At 44.8% G+C, this 23,140-nt stretch overlaps 1 annotated feature.

The window, feature by feature from the left end:
- Positions 381-882: an enhancer, noted in NCBI's record as "H3K4me1 hESC enhancer chr15:69791851-69792352 (GRCh37/hg19 assembly coordinates)". NCBI's record gives its function as "activates a minimal SCP1, AML or CMV promoter by ChIP-STARR-seq in primed H9 embryonic stem cells {active_cell/tissue: H9 hESC(primed)}" and the evidence as "EXISTENCE:reporter gene assay evidence [ECO:0000049][PMID:30033119]".

The following is a 23,140-nucleotide window of genomic DNA, read 5'->3' on the forward strand; positions in this document are numbered from 1 at the left end:
GCATCCTGTTGTAGTGACTGAGACCGTTGTTGATTCATTCAACAAGTACTTCCTGAGCCCTGCAATGTGTCAAACCTGTAGCTGGTGCTGAGTAAATGCCATGGCCCCCATTCTCAAGCAGCCTTCCTCCTTTTTAATTGCAAAGCCTAAAGAGAGGGTTACCCGCACCCTCATTATGACCTGATTAGTTTTCCAGATTTCTGGCTGCTGCTCAGTAGAGCACAGCCTTGGACGGGGGGTGGGTGGGGTAGGCAGGGGCAATAGCAAGTTCTAAGGACCCGGTCAGGGATGAGAGGTCTGGAGCGCATGCATGAAGAAGGGCTGGGAAATCAGGAGGCAGCATGAGAGTGCAAGGCCCCCGGCAGGGTGTGGGGTCCCTGGAGTTAGAGAAAATTGAGGCAGAAAAGGCCTTGGAGATAATTGAGTTGATCTCTTTCATTTTCACCATGAAGACAGCTGGGCTGAGGGCCAGCCCTTCTGGTGAGAGGTGAGAAGCCCTTCCTTGCCCCTGCACTCTGGGTGTTACTTGCTAAAGTCCTTTCCTGTCTCATGTAGCTGGCATCTTCCTTTGTTCACAGACCTCAATTACGTTTAGCCCTACAGCGGGGAGCGTTGTGAGCAGAAAGGTCAGTCACATGGTGCCCCGTCTATGCTGACTTGATGGCCCTGCTGCTCTGTCGGAAAGCTTCCCAGGCTCCTGGGCTCGGAATGAGCTGAGGCATGGAATTCCACCTGGGCTCCAGGTCACTGTGCTCTCATCGCTTAGATGACTCAACCTCTAGGACAAAGGTGGCTCCCATTGCCGTGGGGAGAAGCTTGTTCTTGGGGGGCTTGACCCAGAACCCTTCAGAGCGGAGCCTGGTCTGGAGTGAGAGCTCAGTGCCCCACTGAGCTCACTGGAGCACAATGGGCTATTTTTAGGGCCTGCCTCTCCTGTTGCTGTCAAACACGCTGGCTGACCGTTTGCATCTGACGCTGTGAGCTGGCGGCCTAAGCAGCTTGTCGAGCCCCTGTTGCTTCCCAAAACCCACTGCCCTAGTTCTGCCTGTCATCTTTCTTTTGTTCTGCCTGCTTTGTCATCGGTGCTGGCACTGTTTCTCCGGGAGCTGGAGAGATGAGGTCTCAGCAAATATCATCAAGGTAGCAGCTTCCTATAGCAGTGCATTAATTTCCTGGGGCTGTTGTAACTAAGTACCACTAGCTGGGATGGGTTAAAACAACAGAAATGTATTCTCTCACAGTTCTGAAGGCTGGAAGCCAGAGATGGAGGTGTGGGCAGGGCCATGCTGTCTTGGAAGGATCTAGGGAAGAACCGGTTGCATTCATTCTCATAGCTTCTGGGATTTGCTGGTCATCTGCACTGCTCCTTGGCTTGAGGCCACAGCACTTCCATCTTGGCCTCTGTCCTCACATGGCCATCTTCTGCTAGGGATCTGTGTCTTTCAAGTCTCCTCTTACAAGGACACCAGTCATACTGGATTAAGGACCCACCCTGCTCCAGCATGACCTTATCTTAACTTAACTAATGGCATGTACAAAGGCCCTACTTCTAAATAAGATCACATTCTGGGGTACTGGGGTTAAGGTGTTCAACATATCATTTTGGAGGACACAATTCAACCCGTAACAAGCAGATTCCCACTGAGTGGATGGTGAGAGCATGGGTGGATGTTCCACCCCCAGGGTGTATGAACCCACCTGTTATCCACATTCCCATGGCCAAAACTCACCAAGGGACAGGGGCATCCAGGGTTTGTGGGGCTTCAGGCGCAGGCAGCTTAGGGACTTTCTTTAAGAAAAAGAATACATCCTGGGCATGGTGGCTCACACCTGTAATTCCAGCGCTTTGGGAGGCCGAGGCAGGTGGATCTCTTGAGGCCAGGAGTTCTAGACCAGCCTGACCAACATGGCGAAACCCTGTCTCTACTGAAAATACAAAAATTAGCTGGGTGTGGTGGTGCACACCTGTAATCTCAGCTACTTGGGTGGCTGAGGCAGGAGAATCACTTGAACTCTGGGAGGTGGAGGTTTGCAGTGAGTTGAGATCGTGCCACTGCATTGAAGCCTGGGCAACAGAGTGAGGCTCTGTCTAAAAATAAATAAATAAATAAATAAATAAATAGTCTCAGAGCAAGAGATGCCACTGTCTCAATGATCTCACATGCCTGAAAGGGTGAAGCTATCTATATGTTTGCTGAGACCACTCCTGCTTTTGGAACTTGGATGGGATTGAAAGGAAGCCTGTATACCTGAGTGGCTTCAGCCTGGGAGACATTTATACAATATGACAGACTAGGCTAATTACTAATGATCATGTATGTTCTTTTGATGTAAAGGGCCCACGTTAAAAAACCAAGGGGTGACCTGTGGTGTTATGATGTATACATGTATTGGTTTTTGTCCACGGTTCCTGGCTTGCCGCCCCCAAAGCACTTGTTATAGGCTTAACATTGTGGGCATCAGGCCTCAGGAGCAGGACTCAGGAAGCAGAATCCCTCCGACCTTCTCCTGCCCTCCCTTCGGCAACCCCAAGCCGGGATGCTAATCTTCCCCTGTTTCTCCTGTTACACGGGTCATAAGACTCTCTCCTCCGAGGGTCCTGCTCTGTGCCCTGAGGGAAGGAATGGAGATGTCATGAAGCTTCCATAAAAACCCACAAGACCTGGGTTTGGAGAGCTTCTGGACAGCATGTGGCATTCCACATGGAGGTTCCTGAAGGTGGTGCTCCAGGGAGGGCACAGGCAGCTCTGTGTCCCCATAGCTTGCCCTACGTGTGTCTTTTTTATATTTTTATTTTATTTTATTTTATTTTTTTGGAGATGGAGTCTTGCTCTGTCACCCAGGCTGGAATGCAGTGGCACGATCTCGGCTCACTGCAACCTCTGCCTCCCAGCTTCAAGCGATTCTCCTGCTTCAGCTTCCTGAGTAGCTGGGACTACAGGCGCCCGCCACCACGCCCGGCTAATTTTTTGTATTTTAGTAGAGACGGGGTTTCACCGTGTTGCCCAGGCTGGTCTTGAACACCTGACCCCGTGATCCGCCTGCCTTAGCCTCCCAAAGTGCTGGGATTACAGGCGTGAGCCACAGTGCCCGGCCTCTTTTTTATTTTTTGAGACAGAGTCTGACTCTATCGCCCAGGCTGGAGTGCAATGGCGCCATCTTGGCTCACTGCAACCTCTACCTCTGAAGTTCAAAAGATTGTCCTGCTCAACCTCCTGAGTAGCTGGGATTACGGGCGAGCGCCTGTAACTTTTGTATTTTTAGTAAAGATGGCGTTTCATCATGTTGACCAGGCTGGTCTTGAACTCCTGACCTCATAATCCGCCCATCTTGTCCTCCCAAAGTGTTGGGATTGCAGGCGTGAGCCACTGCATCCAGCCTATGTGTCTCTTCATCCTGTATCCTTTGTAATATCCTTTTTAATAAACTGGCAAATGTAAAAAAGAAAAAAAAAGGAAAAGAACAAAAGAAAAAAATACATAGTTATGAACACAGACTTAGGCATAAAGTGAATGTGCTGGAGCTGCTGCTGCCCCCTGCAGGTCCCTCTACCGGGAAAGGTGATTGGAGTTCTGGGGGGTTTTGGAGGGGACCCTTGGGGCAGTGGCTATTTACTACCTGGTGTGGAAGCATTTTAAGATTTTAATGCTGAATGTGGCTGTACTGACATATGCATGGTAGCTGCACCTCCACGCTGGGTGCTGTGATGAAAGCGCCCTGCACTCAACCAAGGCACCCCCTGTAAGGGCAGCTCCTCCGTGCTTCCCATGCTGGCTTGTCCTCAGCTGAAGGTAGGCCAGAGGCGCTGTGTGGGCCGGGTGTGGTGGCTTCAGCCACCGTGGCAGCTGACGGAGATGGAGGCCGCCTGGGATGGGCCTATGGGTTTTTTATACTAGGGGGAGGTAGGTCTGCAGCAGAATCTCTGAGGAAAAAAAATTTTTTTTCCAGGAAATTAACAGAACAGAACTGTATTGCAAACATGATGAAGGGAGGCAGGAAGCTCTTTGTAAGTCAGAAAGAACCGGGACTTGGATGTATTAGAAGGGAATCCAGGTAGGCTGCTGTTTCCCAGCCTGCCTAGCAGCTAGTAGGGGGCAGGTGAGAGGAGAGAGGTAAAGAGAATGAAAGTCCAGCTTAGACTCATTTGATGTTAGAGTTGGAAGAGTCTCACCTCCACGTGGACAAACTGAGGCCCAGAAAGGCAAAGTGGCTTGCTTCACATCATGTAGCTTCCTATTTTATAGGCTCATTTGGGTTTTATATGTGAGTTCTTCTTTATAAAGTGGTTATGTGGAAGGATTTTTTTTTTTTTTTTGAGACTCTGTTACTCAGGCTGGAGTGCAGTGGTGTGATCACAGCTCACTGCAGCCTCGATCTCCAGGGCTCAAGCAATTCTCCCACATCAGCCCCTGTGAAGGGATTAAAGTAATTAAAAATGGGTACCCTTTGGGGTGATGTAGAAAGGGTGTTGGACTTGCAATTCTCTCACATTCCACTGGCAAGAACGTGGTCACACTCAAGTACAAAGGTGTCTGGGCAATGTAGTCCACAGCTAAGTAGCTGTGTGCCAACTACAATATTATTACTCTAGAGGAGCGAAAAGGATTTTGGTGGACAGCTGGCATTCTCTGCCACAAGCTAGAAAATGTGCACACACACACACAAAATCTTTAGGGTTGTGGTTGCCTTTAAGCTCTTCTAGGTTTGATTTGATTCAATATTAGATCAATAGTGACATACTCCAGGAAACTCAAAAAATACAGTAAGGACAAGAAAGAGGGAAGGATGACTCTTGTGTTTATCAGGCACCTGCTATGCTCAGCCCCATGCCATTGATTGAGCAAATATCTAGGAAAAGGCATCACCCCTCAAGTTTAGTTAGTCCAAAACACACTTGGCAAATAAACAGCCCCTAAATCATGTGTTGAAGACCAGGAATGCTGTAAAGATTCTAGAGAGGAAGGGATCAAGATGGACTGGGATGGTCAGGGAAGGAAGGTGCTCTTGAGTTGGCTCCTGGGACTTAACGAGATGGCGCAGATCAGAGGCAAGTTGTTTCAGTGTGGAATGGGGGTGGAGGAGAGGAATAACATCTATCGGGCACTTGCTGTATGCCATTAACAAGTGGTTTCAATTAATTTTCACAGTAACCCCAGTATCTCCCTTTTATAGATGAAGGATTGAAGTCATGACAGGCTAAGCTCTTGTCCCCACAGCTTGATTGAGGAGCTGAGATTCAAACCCCCGTCTAACCCCAGGGTCCTAGTCCTCACCCCTCCCTTTCCCCACTCCCCCAAACCATTTAGATCCAAATCTCCTGACTGTTTCTTAAATTAATGTTCTGTTAGCATCTTGGGCTCATTGTACATGTTTCTTAGAGGACACAGCTGGGTGACAGGACAAGGCTATGTGTGCTTGTGTGGGTGTCTGTGAAAGAGGAAGACAATTTTAAAATTACTGTTTCATTACATATGTCTCAGCATTGGTTAACTAATTTTTGCCAGGACCATCATTGATCAAGCAAATAAATTCAAAAGCCATTTGAGGGGGGAAGAAAAGAGGAAGACAATTCTGTTGGTTTCTAGCTGTTTGGCTTTGGATAAGCCATTTATCTTTCCTGGGCCTTAATTTTAATCTCTGAACAATCTGTTTCATTGTCCCTGCACAGAGTGTTTGGTGAGGTTTGGATGAGGTCACAGATGACCACATGCCTTGTTCATCACAGGGTGCTGTGTACACTGCCAATGTGCTGGTGGGCCCCAAAGGCCAGTGAGCTGTTGAATATCATTGGAAGGAAAATGGAAAGAACGTAGAAAACATCACCCCCACGCTGTGTAAAACTGGGTGTCCCTCAGGAATGCCTAGTGCAGTTGGTGTCATCATCTCTTAAAAAACACAGGGTACAGATGGCAGGTCGTGGAGGGCAGCTGGATGCATGCTTGGAACCTGGTGCTGCAGAGTGAGGGCCTCCCCAGTACCCAGGACATGAGCTCCTGTGATGTGGCAAGCTCCTTGAAGCATGCTCCTGGCCCTCTACTAGCTCCTGAAATGCTCTGCCTGACCTCCCAGCCTTGAAGCTTTGTGTGGTGGTAAATGTTACAACTAAACGGAAGATCTGCTTTCTACGGGGAGAGACAAGCTGTTGGATTTGTACAGTGCTTAATTATTCAGTCTTTTTGGTGATAAAGGACACAGGGCCCTGAAACTTTCTGCAGAAAATGGGAGCTTATGGTGAGAACTGGCAAGTCCAAAAGCCCAGAGACTGAAACTGCTTTTATTATTATTATTATTATTATTATTATTATATTGTTATTATTTTTTTTTTGGAGACGGAGTTTCACTCTTGTTGCCCAGGCTGGAGTGTAGTGGCACAATCTCGGCTCACTGCAACCTCTGCCTCTCGGATTCAAGTGATTCTCCTGCCTCAGCCTCCCAAGTAGCTGGGATTACAGGCACCCACCACCATGCCCAGCTAATTTTTGTATTTTTAGTAGAGATGGGGTTTCACCACGTTGGTCAGGCTGGTCTTGAACTACTGACCTCAGGAGATCCGCCCGCCTTGGCCTCCCGAAGTGCTGGGATTACAGGCATGAGCCACTGAGCCCGGCCAGAAGCTGCGTTTATGCCCGTAATCCCTTTGTCCCTTGAAATACTCCTGCAAGTGGGCGTTATCATCCCCATTTCACAGTGAAAGAAACTCAGGCATGGCGATGTGAAGCAATTTTCTCAAGGCTAGTTACGTGGTCTAGCACACGGCACCAAATATGTGCTTTTTGAATAATATTATACCTGTTTTTTTTTGTTTGATAGTGATTTTACCATGAGGAAACTGAGTCACAGAGGAATCCTATCCCAACCACCATAGTTCAACTGAATGGGCAGAGTGTGGAGGCTGTTGGTCCTAGCCTGAACTTGAGATGGTCAATGTTAGTCGTAGATCTTGCTTTTCCCTGCACAACCCCCGGTTGCTAAGCCCCATATGACGTAGAAGCCGTCCTGGAATGCCAGACTGATACCCTTGATTGCCGCGGTGATCTTGGTCTCTGGCTGAGACATGTCAGTTTCAGCCTCCATTAGAAGCCTGAGCACCATTGCAGTCCTCCTATTTATACTTAAAACTTGGAGACCCAGGCAGGGTATGTCTCCTTTCCACCACCTTTGAAAGAACTCTGTCCTTAGACTCCTGGTTTTTCACCCTCGCCTGACCCGCTCTGGCTCCAAGGCATCTTGTTAGATTTAATTGGTCAGCAGGCAATATTGATTGCCATGGAGACCTCTGAAATGAAGTTAGGAATCTGTACTCATTTATGTTGGCTGATAAAAGGCCGACATAAATTGTGTGTTTCTCTTTTGTTTCTTGATGTAATAAAATATATATTAAAAAGAGAAAGCATCATGGCCAGTGAGATGAAAGCTTTGTCAGGGTGCCTGGGGCAGGTATGTTACAGGCTTGCCCCAGCCCCAGCCCCCAGCCTTCTTCTCTATTTTTTTTTTTTTTTTTTTTTTTGAGATGGGGGCTCACTCCCACCCAGGCTGGAGTGTAGTGCTCGGTTCACTGCAGCCTCTGCCTCCTGGGCTCAAGCTATCCTCCCACTTCAGCCTCCTGATTAGGCGCACGTCACCACACCAGGGTAACATTTGTATTTTTAGTAGAGACAGAGTTTCGCTATGTTGGCCAGCCTAGTCATAAACTCTTGACCTCAGGTGATCTGCCTGCCTTGGCCTGCCAAAGTGCTGAGATTACAGGAGTGAGACACGGCGCCCGGCCTCTTCTCATCTTTTCTGGTCTTCAGCACAAGTGTTCAAGTCTACCAATCATTCAACAAGTGTTTATTAAATGCTTAGTGGCTAAAGCCTGGGAAACTAAGCCTCCTGAAATGGGTCCTGGCCTCAAGGAGCTGACATTCTGGGTCCTTGAGGAAACAAGGTGCAGAACAATTGACAATCAGGTTAAGTGCTAAGTGGGGTGGAGGGGTTTGGGTGGTGAGGGAGCAGCCTGGCTGTGGCAGATGAGAAAAGGCTTAGCCCAGGGTCTTGAGTACATGAGAGGGGGCTCATAGAATGAGCTTGTATTTTGATCTATTCAATTTTAGTTTTGAATTCCAACTCTATTTCTTGTTAGCTATAAGACCATGAATAAATCACTCAACCTCAACCTCTCTGAGCATTTTGCTTTGTTTTTAATTTGAGACAGGGTCTTTCTCTGTCTTCCCAGCCTGGAGTACAGTGGTGCAATGTTGGCTCACTGCAACCTCCACCTTCTGGGTTCAAGCAATTCTCATGCCTCAGTCTCCCAAGTATCTGGGTTTACAGGTGGACACCACCATGCCTGGCTAATTTTTGTATTTTTAGTAGAGATGGGGTTTCACCATGTTGGACAGGCTCCTGACCTCAAGTGATCCACCCGCCTCGCTCTCCCTCTCAAAATGCTGGGATTACAGGCATGAGCCACCACACCCGGCCTCTGAGTGTTAGTTTTCTCATCTATTTCTATTTAATCTATAATCATGTCTGCCTCTTGGGGTTGTAATGTGAATTTAAGTGAAATCATGAATGTGACATCATTTTGTACACACAAGCTTAAGAAACTTAATAAACAGTTTCTTTCCCATCCTTCCCTGTATCAGTTATGATCAGGCTTTGCTGTGAGTAACAAACCCCAAAATATCAGTGGCTTAAGCAAGATAGACAGAAATGTATTTCTCTCTCACGTGAAAGATGGCAGGTATGTGGTGCAGGACTGGTGCTCTGTGGTGTTAGAAACTCCAGCTCCCTCTAGTTTTTTGTTCTGTGTTCATGGTCTCTATTCCCAAGATTATGTTATAATCCAAGGCGGCACCCCTAGCATCTCTGCATTGCAATTGGTAGAAAGGAGAAAGTTATACCTTTTCCTGTTAAGGATACATTCTGGAAGTTGCACATACTACTTCTATCATAGGGCCTCTTCCAGCCCATTACCTCTTCACAGCAACCCCATTTTCTTCCTTTTAAAGTGAAGGATTGAGGTCAGGACAGGCTAGCTCTTGTCCCCACAGCTTGATTGAGGACCTGAGATTTGAACCCTAGTCTAATCCCAGGGTCCTCACACCCACCTCTCCCCCACTCCCCTCAAGCCATTTAGATCCAAATCTTCTGTTTCTTAAATCAGCTTTCTGTTAGCATCCAGAATATCTTGGGCTCATTGCAGATGTTTCTTAGAGGACACAGTAGGGTGATGGAACAAAGCTATGTGTGCACGTGTGGGTGTCTATGAAAGAGAAAGACAAGCAAGGGAGGCTGGAAAATACAACCTCTTACCCAGGTGGCCCAGCTAAAACATGGGGTGCGGTTACTTTAGAAACAGGGGGAATTGGATATTTCCTTACCACCTTCTCTTTCCTTGACAAAGGCTTTTTGGAGGCAGTAGAACACGAACTGGGGGTTGAAGGATAATAGGATTCAGTTACCACTACTACCACTACTAATGGTGGCTGAATTATTTATATGGGTCTGCATAAAAATTACCCCAAAATGTAGCGGTTTAAAACAGCAATGAACATTTATTATCTCATACAGTTTCTGTGGGTTGGGAATTCAGAGCTCAGGCATGGCTGAGCTGTGTGGTCTGGCTCAGGGTGTCTCATGAGGTTGTAGTGAGGATGTCAGCCAGGGCTGCTGTCTCACAAGGTTCAGCTTGGACTGGGGCATCCTTTTCCAAGATGGATTGTTCACACAGCTCACAAGTTGGCGACAGTCATTGGCAGGAGGCCTCAGTTCCTTCCCACATAGGTCTCTCTGCAGGCTCCTGTGGCAATATCCCTTATGACCTAGTGTCAGGGGTCACACACCATCACTTCCTGCACACTCCATTTGTTAGAAGTGAGGCACCAAGTCTGTCCCACATTTGAGGGTAGAGGAATTAGGCTCTATCTTTTCAAAGGAGCAGTGTCAAAAAAACCACCACAGTGGCTAACATTTTTTGAACATTTACAGTAATGGCTGATATTATGCTAAACATTTTATATGCATTGTCTTAATGATGTCTCACAACAACCCACGAAGTGGGTACTGTTCTTATTTCCTTTATTGCACTGAAGAAACCAAAGCCCAAAGGCAAAAAGCACCTTGCCCAAACCCACTGTTTTGTTAAACAGCCGAGCTGAGATGTGAACACAGGCAGGCTGACTCAGGAACTTAACCACTAGGCCATTGTGGAGCAGGCGGGGAGATGTTGGGGAGAGTCAGAGCTGAGACAGAATGACAGGGCAGATAGAGGCACAGTGAGAAACAGCTAACACTCTGTGCCTCCTAGACAGTGTATCGACTGGGCTGGACTTAATGTGCAGTGGTCTGTCTTCAAAAGTGAGCATGATGAAGAATAAGTGAGAAAAAAAAGGTTATTTTACCAGGCTGGGGTCAGGTTACTGCTTTTCCCTCCTGCTTTTGGCTTTGATTTTGGGCTCTAGAATGTCAGGAAAGCATTTTACAGAAAGCTGTCCTCTACTCTTGTTTTCCTTCCTAGTAACATGGAAATCAACCTAAAAATCAAGTCTTTTATGGGGGAAGCGTTCTTGTTTCAACTTATCTCCATTTTATGGATAGGGAAAGGAGACCAAGAAAGCAAAAGTGGTAACTGCAGTAACTTAGAGGCAGAGCTAAGACTAGAGCCCAAATCCCCTACCCCGCAGCCCTGGAGAATGATGAGCTAGTGAGAAGGAGAGAAGAAGAGCAAAAGGTGGGAGAGAGACCCGGACTCAAAAGTCATCAGTAAGTAAAGTCAGGGGAATCAAAACAATGTAACATTGGTGTATGGGTCAACAAACCGATCCATCAAACAGAACAGAAGGTCCAGAAACAGACTCATACTTATCTAGTTAATTGATTTGTAAAAGTACCAAGATAACCAGTGATAGCCTTTTCAGCAAAAGATGCTGGAATAATTGGATATCCATAGGGGAAAAAAATAAACCTTGACCCCCTACCTCACACCACACACAAAAATGAAGATGGATCATTTGAAGATGGATCAAAAATGAAGATGGAATGTAAAAGCTAAAATGATAATGCCTCTAGAAGGGAACATGGGAAAAAATATCTTCACAACTTTGGGATAGGTAGAGACTACTTAGACAAGACAAAAATGTGCTAACTATAAAATAAAAAAAATATGGACATGTTGGACTCCATCAAAATCAAAGACTCTGCTCTTCAAATGACATTCCTGAGAAAATGAAAAGGCAAGCTACAGGTGGGGAAGGAATATTTATTTACATATATCTGACAAATAATCCATATTTAGAGTCTATAGAAAACAACAATAACTCAATAATAAGGCCAACAATCTTATTAAAAAATGGGCAAAAGTCCTAACAGATACTTCACAAAGGAAGATATATGAATGGCCCTGAAGCATATGAAAAAGTGTGCAACATCATTGCTCATCAGAGAAATGCAAATTAACACCCACTGGAACAGTTAAAATTAATGTGCCCAACAACACCAAGTGTTGCAGAGGATGTGCAGCAACTGAATACTTTGCTGGCATGACAGTAAAATGATATGACTATTTTTGGAAACAGTTGAGCATTTTCTTAGAAATATACACCAACCTCATTGTGATGGTCAATATTTTGTGGCAACTTGACTGGGATCAGGGATGCCCAGATAGCTGATAAAACTATTTCTGGGTGCATCTGTGAGGGTGTTTCTGGAAGAGATTAGCATTTGAGTCAGTGGACTGGGTAAAGAAGATCACCTTCCTCATTGTGGGTGGGCACCATGTAGTTGGCTGAGGGCCTGGATGGAACAAAAAGATGGGGGAAGGGTGAATTCTCTCTTTCTCCTTGAGTAGGGACATCCATCTTCTCCTTTCCTCGGGTATTGAAGCTCCTAGTTCTAAGCCTTTGAAATCTGGGACTTGTACCCATGGGCACCTCTCCCCACCCACTCCCCCTTCCCAGGAATTCAGCCTTGGACTGGGAGTTACACCATTTGCTTTTCTGGTTCTCCAGCTTGCAGAGGCATATCATGGCACATCTCAGCCTCCATAATTGCATGAGCCAGCTCCTCTTGTACATCTACATATAATCCTGGAGAACCCTTACAAATACACCCATGACTCAGCAATTTTACAGCTAGGTATTATTTACCCAAGAGAAAAGAAGCATATGTTTACAAAAAGACTTGTACAGATGTATTCATGATAGCTAAAACTGAGAACAACACAAATTGCCATTAACCAGAGGATGCATTAACAAATTGTGATACATCCATGCAATGGAATATTACTCAGAAACAAAAAGGAATAAACTGATGTATACGGATATATGTAACATGTATGAATCTCATAGAAATTTTGATGAATGAAAAAAGCTAGACACAAATATACTGAATGCTTTCATTTTATGCAGTAGTAGAAAAGCCATAATTAACCTATAGTGATAGAAATCAGACAGTGGTTGCTGAGAGCAGCAATGGGGGTAGGGTGTGACTTTCAAAGGCACAGGAAGAAACTTTTGGGGGTATTAGAATATTCCATGCCTTCACTGGGGTGGTGGTTACATGAGTATGTACATATATCAAAATTCATCAAATTGTACATGTAAAATCTATGCATTTTATTGCATGTAAATTATACCTCGGTAAAAACACATGTCTATAAAGAATTCATTATCAAATGCAACATTCCTCTACATAGGCTGATGTATTGTTGTTGTCATGATTTCAACACAAATCTTGGGTGACATAACTCATTGACTTAGAACAGGCTGTTAAGGGAGCCAGGAGAGATGCTGGTGGGGTCATGAATTTGATCCTAGTGAGTGCAGGCAATTTACATTGCTCGGTCTTGAAGAGCCTTGCATTTAGGTCCAGCCCTAGTCTTGGGTGGTCACCCATGTGCTATGATTTTGTGGTGACCAGAAGTCAACCCATTCCAAATTCCTTTGCATACTGGAGTCTGAAGCCAGTTGGGTGAAGCCCTGCCTTTTCCCTGTCTTCTCTTCATGAAAGGAGTGGCAAGATGCTGAAACCCCACTTGGAGGTATGAGTGACTGTATCAGAAGCTGTCCACCCAGGGCTGGCTACATAATTTGCAGGGCCCACTGCACTATAAACATGCAGGACTCTTGCATGTTTCACAATGAAATAATGAATTTCACGATGGTGTCAGCAGAATATTAAAACAAGCATGAGTCAAGGAAATTGGGTACACTGGGAAAGGGTGAAGACACTCCACCAGTTTCAATGCTATTTTGGGTTGACCTCTGATGTGACCAGGAGGTGGACATAAGCATATGGCACAGGGCGAATCTTCCTTCTACAGACCTCATTCGTGTGCATCCAGACTTCTTTGCATACACTATGCTGGCCCTGTGCTCAGCCCTGGAAATAAGAGAAGCCATGGGTCCTGCTTTCTAGGAACTCATGGTCTCATAGGAGAGGGTCACCCAGGAACATGACAAGCTTCAATATGTGGTAGAGAGCCCTCATTGTCACCAGAGAGGCACAGATGGTGTCATATCCAGATTGGGAGTAGTGGAGGCAGTCAGGGAAGGGCTCCTAGAAGAGGTGGTATTTGATTGGGTCATTTGAAGGTTGATCCAACTGGCTATAAGAAGTGAGGGCGGCCGGGCGCGGTGGCTCACGCCTGTAATCCCAGCACTTTGGGAGGCCGAGGCGGGCGGATCACGAGGTCAGGAGATCGAGACCATCCCGGCTAAAACGGTGAAACCCCGTCTCTACTAAAAATACAAAAAATTAGCCGGGCGTAGTGGCGGGCGCCTGTAGTCCCAGCTACTTGGGAGGCTGAGGCAGGAGAATGGCGTGAACCCGGGAGGCGGAGCTTGCAGTGAGCCGAGATCCCGCCACTGCACTCCAGCCTGGGCGACAGAGCGAGACTCCGTCTCAAAAAAAAAAAAAGAAGTGAGGGCAAGGCATTCCTGGGGGAGAGAGAGACAGAGCAGAGCTGGAGTGATGGGAGAGCCCCAAGTGGGTGTGGGGTGTGGAGGAAATGTTGCTGTAGCTGGGGCGCAGGCAGTGTGTCTGGGAATCAAAGGCTCTGTCTCTCCCTGTGGAAGCAAAGAGAGCCAGACTCCCCTCTACCTGGACCACAGTGATGGGGCTGCAGAAAGAGGCCATGCTTGGTTGGTTGGCTACTCCCACCTGGGATGGGGGGGTGAGGAGACTGATGTGAGAGTGTGGGCACATTTAGATATTATTCATGGAGGCTGTGGGGCTGCTGAATGGTGGAAAGTGGCCAGTGGTAGAGGCACCAGCAGTGGTATTCTGGCTGGACAGTATCTGGACATGCATGACTTTAATCTCTGCCCTTTGCTGGTCAGCCTCCCTGGCCTTCCTACCGATTCTATGAGCTCCCCGGTGTCCTCCTAGTAGATTATTTCTGGCTTAAGTTAGCCATGGTCACTTTCTATTGTTGGCAACCAAGAACCCTGATGCAGGATGGTCAGCTGGGGTCAGATGATGAGAGACTTTAATGTTGGCATGAGGAGGATGGCAGACAATGGGGAGCCATGGGAGGTGCATGAGTGAAGCAGAGCCTTGATCCACAGATCCAGGAAGAGTCACTGTAGAATGAAATGGGGAGGAACAAGACTGTGGGGGGTGGCGGGCAAGCTGAACCAGGGCAGTCACAGTGACAAAGGAGGAAATGACACTGAGATAAGGGGCTCAGGATTGACAGGATTTTGCAATGGGCTGGATGTGGCAGGACAGCAGGGAGAACTTTTTACAGAGAATATACATCATGGCGTGTTTCCTCTCTGGTCTTCTGAATAACCGGCTCATCTGTTTTAACTATGGATTTGGGGGAGGTTATTGGCCAGGGGTCCCCAACCCCTGGGCCACAGACTGGCACAGATCTGTGGCCTGTTAGGAACGAGGCTGCACAGCAGGAGGTGAGTGGCAGGCCAGTGAGCATTACCACCTGTGCTCCACCTCCCGTCAGATCAGCAGCAGCATTAGATTCTCACAGGAGTGTGAACCCTATTGTGAACTGCACGTGCAAGGGATCTAGGTTGTGTGCTCCTTATGCCTGATGATCTGAAGTGGACCAGTTTCATCCTGAAACCATCCCCCACCAACTCCCGTCCGTGGAAAAATTGTCTTCCACGAAACCAGTCCCTGGTGCTAAAAAGGTTGGGGACTGCTGTTCTAGACCAAGGGGTGCTGGCCTGCCTCTCCAGCCTCAGCTGGGAGGTGCCTTCCCCTCAGAGCTGTGCTCTGGAGTGAGCAGGCAGGAGGGCTTAGGAGCGATTAGTTTCTAAGGGGAGGGAAGTGAGTGACCCTTAATTCCTCTTTAATAACATATGTCAGTAGGTAACGTTTTCAATATGTCACTGTGTCTGCAGCTCTGGTCAGCAGGTTGCTATCATTTTTGAGCAATAAACAAAAGACTGCTTTTAATTACTTCTGTGAAATTGCCCGACCCATGCATGATTAAATATTCATAATGTAGAACGAGGCATTTTCTTTGTATATAGATCCATATTAAATTTAGCTGGCAACCCGCTGACCGAACAGCACTAATAAATTTCTGGTAATGGGCCACAGCTTTTCCTGATTGCTCCATCTCTTCCCTCTCAGTCCCTCTCTACATCCCTGTCGCTGTCCTGGCCTGGCTATCTCTGTTCCTTCCTTTTGGAAATTGAAGTGAAACTTGTCCTGGCCTAGCTATCTCTCTTACCTTTTTAGGAAATTGAAGTGAAATGTACACAACATACAATTAACCATTTTAATAGGTACAATTCAGTGGCATTTAGTGAATTTACAATGTTGTGCAACCACTACTTCTTCCTAGGTTCAAAACTTTTTCATCACCCCAGCAGAACACTCCATACCCATTAAGTAACCACTCCTCATTCCTCCTCCTTCCATCCCCTGGCAATCACTAATCTGTTTTCTGTCTCTACAGATTTGCCTATTCAAGATATTTCGTATAAAAGAAAAGAGCAGGGCACGGTGGCTCACACCTGTAATCCCAGCACTTTGGGAGGCTGAGGCAGGTGGAAACCTGAGGCCAGGAGTTCAAGACCAGCCTGGCCAACATGGTGAAACTCCATCTCTACTAAAAATACAAAAAATTAGCCTGGTGTGGTGGTGGGTGCCTGTAATCCCAGCTACCTGGGAGGCTGAGGCACGAGAATTGCTTGAACCTAGGAGGCAGAGGTTGAAGTGAGCTGGGATTGCACCACTGCACTTCAGAGCAAGACTCTGTCTCAATCAAAAAAAAAAAAAAAAAAAAAGAGAATTCATACAATATGGGATCTTTTGTGTCTGGCGTATTTCATGTAGCATAATGTTTTGGGTGTTAATCCATGTTGTAGCATGTATCAGTACTTAATTCCTTCTTATGGCTGAGTAATATTCCATTGTATGGATATACCAATATTTGATTATCCACTCATCAGCTGATGGATCCTTGAATTGTTTTCACCTTTTGGCTATTATGAATTATGCTGCTATGAACATTCGTGTACCAGTTCCTATGTGGACATATGTTTTCGTTTCTCTTGGGTATGTACCCTAGAAGAGGAATTGCTGAGTCATGTGGTAATTCTATGTTTAGCACTTTGAGGAACCACCATACTGTTTTCCACAGCTGCTGTACCATTTTACATTCCCACAAGCAATGTTATGAGGGTTCCTATTTCTCCATACCTTCACCAACGCTTGTTATTTTCCATTTTTAAAACTTGTTGGCTGGGTGTGGTGGCTCACGCTTGTAATTCCAACACTTTGGAAGGCTGAGGTGGGCAGATTACTTGAGCCCAGGAGTTTGAGACCAGCCTAGGGGACATGGCAAAACCCTGTCTTTACAAAAAATAGAAAAATTAGCTGGGTGTGGTGGTGTGCACTTGTAGTCCCAACTACCAGAGAGGAGGAATTGGGAGGATTGTTTGACCCTGAGAGGTTGAGACTACAGTAAGCCATGATTGCACCACTTCATTCCAGCCTGGGTGACAGAGTAAGACACTATCTCAAAAAAAACAAACAAAAAAAAAACGTAGCCATTCTGCTGGGTGTTAACTGGCATTTATTTCATCATGGTTTTGATTTGCATTTCTGTAATAACCAATGATGTTGAAATTTTTTTCTTCGTTTTGTTTTTGGAGACAGAGTCTTGCTCTGTTACCCAGGCTGGAGTACAGTGGTGCGATCTTGGCTCATTGCAACCTCTGCCTCCCAAGTTTAAGTGATTCTCGTGCCTCAGCCTCCCGAGAGGCTGGAATTACAGACAGCGCCAGCATACCTGGCTAATTTTTGTATTTTTAGTAGAGATGGGGTTTCATCATTTTGGCCAGGCTGGTCTTGAACTCCTGACCTCAAGTGATCTGCCCACCTTGGCTTCCCAAAGTGCTGGGATTACAGGTGTGAGCCACCATGTCTGGCCAAGAATTTTTTCAAGCGCTTTTTGGTCACTCATGTATCTTTTTTGGAGAAATGTCTATTTGAATCATTTGCTTTTTAAAAATTGGTTTGTCTTTTCATTGTTGTAAGGGTTCTTTATATATTCTGAATACTAGATCTTTATCAGATATACTATTTGCAACTATTTTCTCCCATTTTTTATATTGCCTTTTCACATTCTTGTTACTGTCTTTTGGTGCACAAAAAATTTAACTTTTATGAAGTCAAATTTACCAGTTTTTATTTTGTTGTTCATGTATTGGGTGTAAAATCTAAGATTCCATTGCCAAATCCAAGGTCATAAAGACTTACCCCTATGTTTCCCCTAATAGTTTTATAAAGCTTTAACTCTTTCATTTAGGTCATTGATCTATTTGAGTTAAATTTTGAGTATGGAGTGAGGTAAGGGTTCAACTTCACTGTTTTGAGTGTGCTATCCAACTGTTCCAGGACCATTTGTTGAAGAGACTCTTTCTTCTTTTGTTAGAGACATTCTTTCCCCATTGAATGGTCTTGGCACCCTTATTGAAAATTCTGTCATCTTTGTCTCATTCAACTTCCCTGTTTCCGTCTTTCTCACTTTTTGTAGACTTATGCTGACATCCACATTCCTTACCTGTTGTCTTGTGGTTGCAGCATTCCCCAGAGAAGGGAAATGATGGAATTTGGGGTAGGCCTGGGGAAGTACTCAGTCAAAGGAGGGATGCTATGGAAGGAGTGAGGCTGTCATCAGTTGCCAGCCAAGTGCTTTGACACACAGTGGCAGAGGGGGCTCAGGGCTGGCAAGGAAGTAAGAGTAGGACTGATCTTTCCTTTTAACACCAGATCAAGGCTATTGTAAATATTTGAGCAATATTTCATTACACTCGGAGTCCACATCTTGATTTTCCATTTCCATTAGACCTTGTGGAAAATTAACTGTATTAAATTAATATATGATTCTAATTTTTTTGAGTTTTTTTTTTCTCATTCCCTCTATTTTCCCTCTCCCTTAACTAACTCATTATTCCATGGTGACCACATAGCATTTTGAGCAGCTGAACTGGAATTCATTTTAATCCACACCAGGTATACTATTTACTAGCTTAGCTAGGGGCAAGGAACACCAGCTTTCTGGGATTCAGTTTTCTCATTTGCAAAATGAGGAATGAATGTGAAAGTATTTTACAAACTGCAGCACAAGGAGTTATTTTTATAATAATTATATTACAAGTAATTTATTATTGTTTTAAAGGCACAGAGGTGGAGAACTCAGAGCTTCAGGAAATCACAGGGACTTTTTTGTCAGTGATCTATAATGCTGCAGAGCAGTGATGTGGATATGACCTGAAGCTGAGACCCTCACCCCATTCAGGCCCTAGCGACTCTGTGCCTGCACAACCTCTGACTTCCTTTATGCTCAAAGGGCTCTCGAGATTATCAAGTTCTACCTGCGTATTTTACAGGGGAGGAAACTAAGGCCCATGGAAGGGATTGTCCAGGGTCCCACAAGCATCAGTGATGAAGCCCATCTTCCCATCCAGAGGCCTGACTCCCAGCTCAGGGCCCCCATCTTCCTCTTTAGACACGCTGTGGCTGCATTGCTTATTCTTAGGCAGCATCACCTTCCTGGGAAGCTGGTATCTCCCAGGGTGCAGAAAAGAGATGGGGCCACTGTAGGTCCAGTGAGCTCAGTAACAGCCCAAAGACTACCCACCCCCTGCCAAACTCCAATTATAGCTGGAGGGGAGTTACTTTAGTGGGAGCATGTTTGGGGCCTAGGGTATGTGTTCTTTTTTCTTGGAGTTTCACAGAGTTTCACTCTGTTGCCTAGGCTGGAATCCAATGGCACGATCTTGGCTCTCTGCAACCTCTGCCTAATGGGTTCAAGAGATTCTCGTGCCTCAGCCACCCGAGTAGCTGGGATTACAGGCATGCATCACCATGCCTGGCTAATTTTTGTATTTTTAGTAGAGACGTGGTTTTGCCATGTTGCCCAGGCTGATCTCGAACTCCTGGCCTCAAGTGATCCGCACACCTCAGCCTCCCAAAGTGCTGGGATTATGGGTGTGAGCCACTGCACCCAGCCAGGTATGTGTTTTTTAATAAAATATTCCAGGCATGACAAACCATGTACCCACCACCAAGCTTAAGAAACAAACAGGAGAAAATGAACTCAGCAAAGTTGCAGTATACAAAATCACAAAAATTAGTCACATTTCTATACACTAATAATAAATAATCTTAAAAAATTTGAGAAATTATGATAGCATAAAAAATACAGTGATGAGCCACATAATGACGTTTTGGTCAATAACAGATTGCATATGTGAAGGTGGTCCCATAAGATGATGACACTGTTACTACAGTAACATGCTGTACAGGTTTGTAGTCTAGTAGCAACAGGCTATACCATATAGCCTATGTGCGTAGTAGACCATACCATCTAGGTTTGTGTAAGTACACTCAATGGTGTTTGCACAATGACAAAATTGCCTAATGACACATTTCTCAGAACATAGCCCCATCATTAAGAGATGTATGTCTGTACTTAGGAGTAAACTTAACCAAGGAAGTGAAAGACTTATACACTAAAAACTCCAAGATGTTGCAGAAAGAAATTAAAGGAGACATAAAGAAATAGAAAGATGTCATGTGTTCATGGACTGGAAGACTTAATGTTGTTAAGATGTCAACACCACCAAAAGTGATCTACAGATTCAATGTAATCCCTACCAAAATTCCAATGACATTTTTTGCAGAAATAGAAAAGTCCATCCTAAAATTCATATGAAATCTCAAAAGACTCCTGATAGCCAAAGCAATCTTAAAAAAGAAGAACATTGCTATCCAAGAAGATGTTAAATATATAATTAAATTAAAAAAAAGAAGAACAAAGGTGGAATTCTCACATTTCCTGATGTAAAAACTTAATACAAAGCTATAGTAACTAAGTCAGTGTGGCACTGGCGAAAAGACAAACATATAGACTATTGGAATAGAAGGGTGAGCCCAGAAACAAACCTTCACATATACAGTCAAATGATTTTTGGCAAGGGTTCCAAAACCATTCCATAGGGGAAGAACAGTCTTTTCAACAAATGGCACTGGGGACACTGGATATCCACCTGCAAAAAAAAGATGACATTGGACCCTTGCCTTACATCATATACAAAAATTAATTCAAAATGGATCAAAGACATAAACGTAAGAGCCAATATAAAACTCTTGGAAGAAAATATAGGGAAAAGCTTCAAGACATTGGATTTGGCAGATTTCTTGGATATGACACCAAAAGCACAGGCAACGAAAGAAAAAAATGATAACGTGAACTTCATCAAACTTAAAAACTTTTCTGCATCAAAGGACACTGTCAACAGAGTGAAAAGGCAACCCACGGAATGGGTTTGCAAATCACATTTCATATCTGCCAATTATATATCTGAGAAGGAACTGATAACTAGAATGGATAAAGAACTCCTGCAACTCAACAATACCAACAACAAAACAGCCCAATTAAAAAGTAGGATGGAGACTTGAATAGATAAATCTCCAAAAAAGGTATACAACTGGCCAATAAACACGTGAAAAGATGCTCAATATTACTAATCATTAGGGAAATGGAAATCAAAACTACAATGAGATAACTTGTCATACCCAATTGGATGGCTACTATAAAAAAACCCCAGGAAATAACAAGTGTTGGTGAGGATGAGGATATGGAGAAATTTGAATCCTCATGTACTGCTGGCAAGAATGTGTAATGGAGCAGCTGCTGTGGGAAACAGTATGATGATTCTTCAAGAAATGAAACATAGAATTATCATATGTTCCTGCAATCCTACTTTGGGTGTAAAACCAAAAGAAGTAAAAGCATGATCTCAAACAGATATTTGTACATCTGTGTTCACAGGAGCACTATTTACAATGTTCCTATGAACCATTTGTTTTTTGTTGTTGTTGTTGTTTTTTGTTTTTTGTTTGTTTTTTGAGATGGAGTCTCGCTCTGTCGCCCAGGCTGGAGTGCAGTGGCGCGATCTTGGCTCACTGCAACCTCTGCCTCCCGGGTTCAAGCGATTCTCCTGCCTCAGCCTCTTGAGTAGCTGGGATTACAGGTGCGTGCCACCACATCCAGCTAATTTTTGTATTTTTACTAGAGACAGGGTTTCACTATGTCAGTCAGGCTGGTCTTGAACTTCTGACCTTGTGATCTGCCTGCCTCAGCTGAACCATTTAGTTTTACAACCAAAATGTGGAAGCAACCCAACTGTCCATTGGATGAGTAAACAAAATATGGTGTATCCATACAATGGAATATTATTCAGCTCTAAAATAGAGGGAAATCCTGACACTTGCTACAACATGGATGAATCTTGAAGACATTATGTTAAGTGAAGTAAGCCAGGCACAAAAGGACAAATACATGATTCCGCCTATGTGATGTACTTAGAACAGTCAAATTCACAGCAGCAGAAAGTAGGATGGTGGTTGCCAGGGGATGGAGGTAGGGGTAATGTGGAATTACTGCTTAGTGGGTAGAGACTTTCTGTTCTACAAGATGAAATGGGTTCTGCAGATGGCTGGTGATGATGGTTGCACAACAATGTGAATATACTTAATTCCACTGAACTGTACACTTAAAAATGGTTAAATAATAAATTTTATGTTATGCATATTTTACCACAATTTAAAAAATGATAAAAGAAAGAAGCAAGGGAGGAGTCCATTCTTGGATCGTGGTGTCCTCTCTACGATATTCTTCAGGAGCTTATGGACATGAGGGTTGGCTATGACAGTAGTGCTTGCTGGGGAAAGTGAGTCTGGAGGCTCCTGCAGAAGGGATCAAAGGCTTTTGAGAAGGTGTTGCCTCCCCTGGCAATCCCAGGGAAATGTAGGGTCTGTTGGGCCTCCCTGGCCCCAACTCTAACCTCTCAGCAGAGTTCTCTAAGGCTTGGCTGGACTGTAATTCCTATTCTTGTGTCCCCACTACAAGCTTTTTGAAGCCTTCCTACCCTCAGAGTATTATAGGAAGATATGTTGAGAGGGTCTCGGTTTCTTGCCACCCACAGCATGCAGACCAGAAGAGCTGAGTAGTGAGAGGAATCAGGGTGGGAGACTCTGTGTGTGTGTGTGTGTGTGTGTGTGTGCGCGCGCGTGACAGAGAGAGAGAGAGAATTCAGAGGGTTTTGGAGACTGTCCCAACTCCTGTGAGCCCATAGAGATTTGTGGATCTTTCTTCTGTCCTATCCTATGGGTTAGGTCTTGAGTGAATTTAAGGGAGGTAGCTGCAGGCCTTGTAAATTTGGAAGTGGTTGGGGAGTGGACACACATCTCTGGATTATTCCTTACCAAGACAGGAAGACAGGGACCACCGCTGTGTTTTCCTATACAGCAGGCACTAGCCACATGTGGCTGTTGAGCACATAGAATATGGCTAGTGAGACTGAGGAACTCAATTTTAAACTTTATCTAGCTTTAATATATGTTTAAAAACTAATAGCCCAGTTACTGGAAAACTTTTAAACACGTTTGAAACAATTTGTCTATGTGAGTTTACTCCCTCATCAAGAAGTATCCTCTTGGTCCAAATACAGATCAAGTATTTCCAGTGAGAATGTAGTGTCTGAATTGAGATGTGCTGAAAGTGTCAAATATACATCAAATTTGGAAGACTCAGTTTGAAAAAGAGTGCAAAATATCTTGATAAGTTTTTATATTGATGACATGTTGACATGATCATGTTTTGAATATATTG

Source organism: Homo sapiens, chromosome 15 (genome assembly GCF_000001405.40).
Source record: "Homo sapiens chromosome 15, GRCh38.p14 Primary Assembly".
In the NCBI taxonomy this organism is placed as follows: domain Eukaryota; kingdom Metazoa; phylum Chordata; class Mammalia; order Primates; family Hominidae; genus Homo; species Homo sapiens.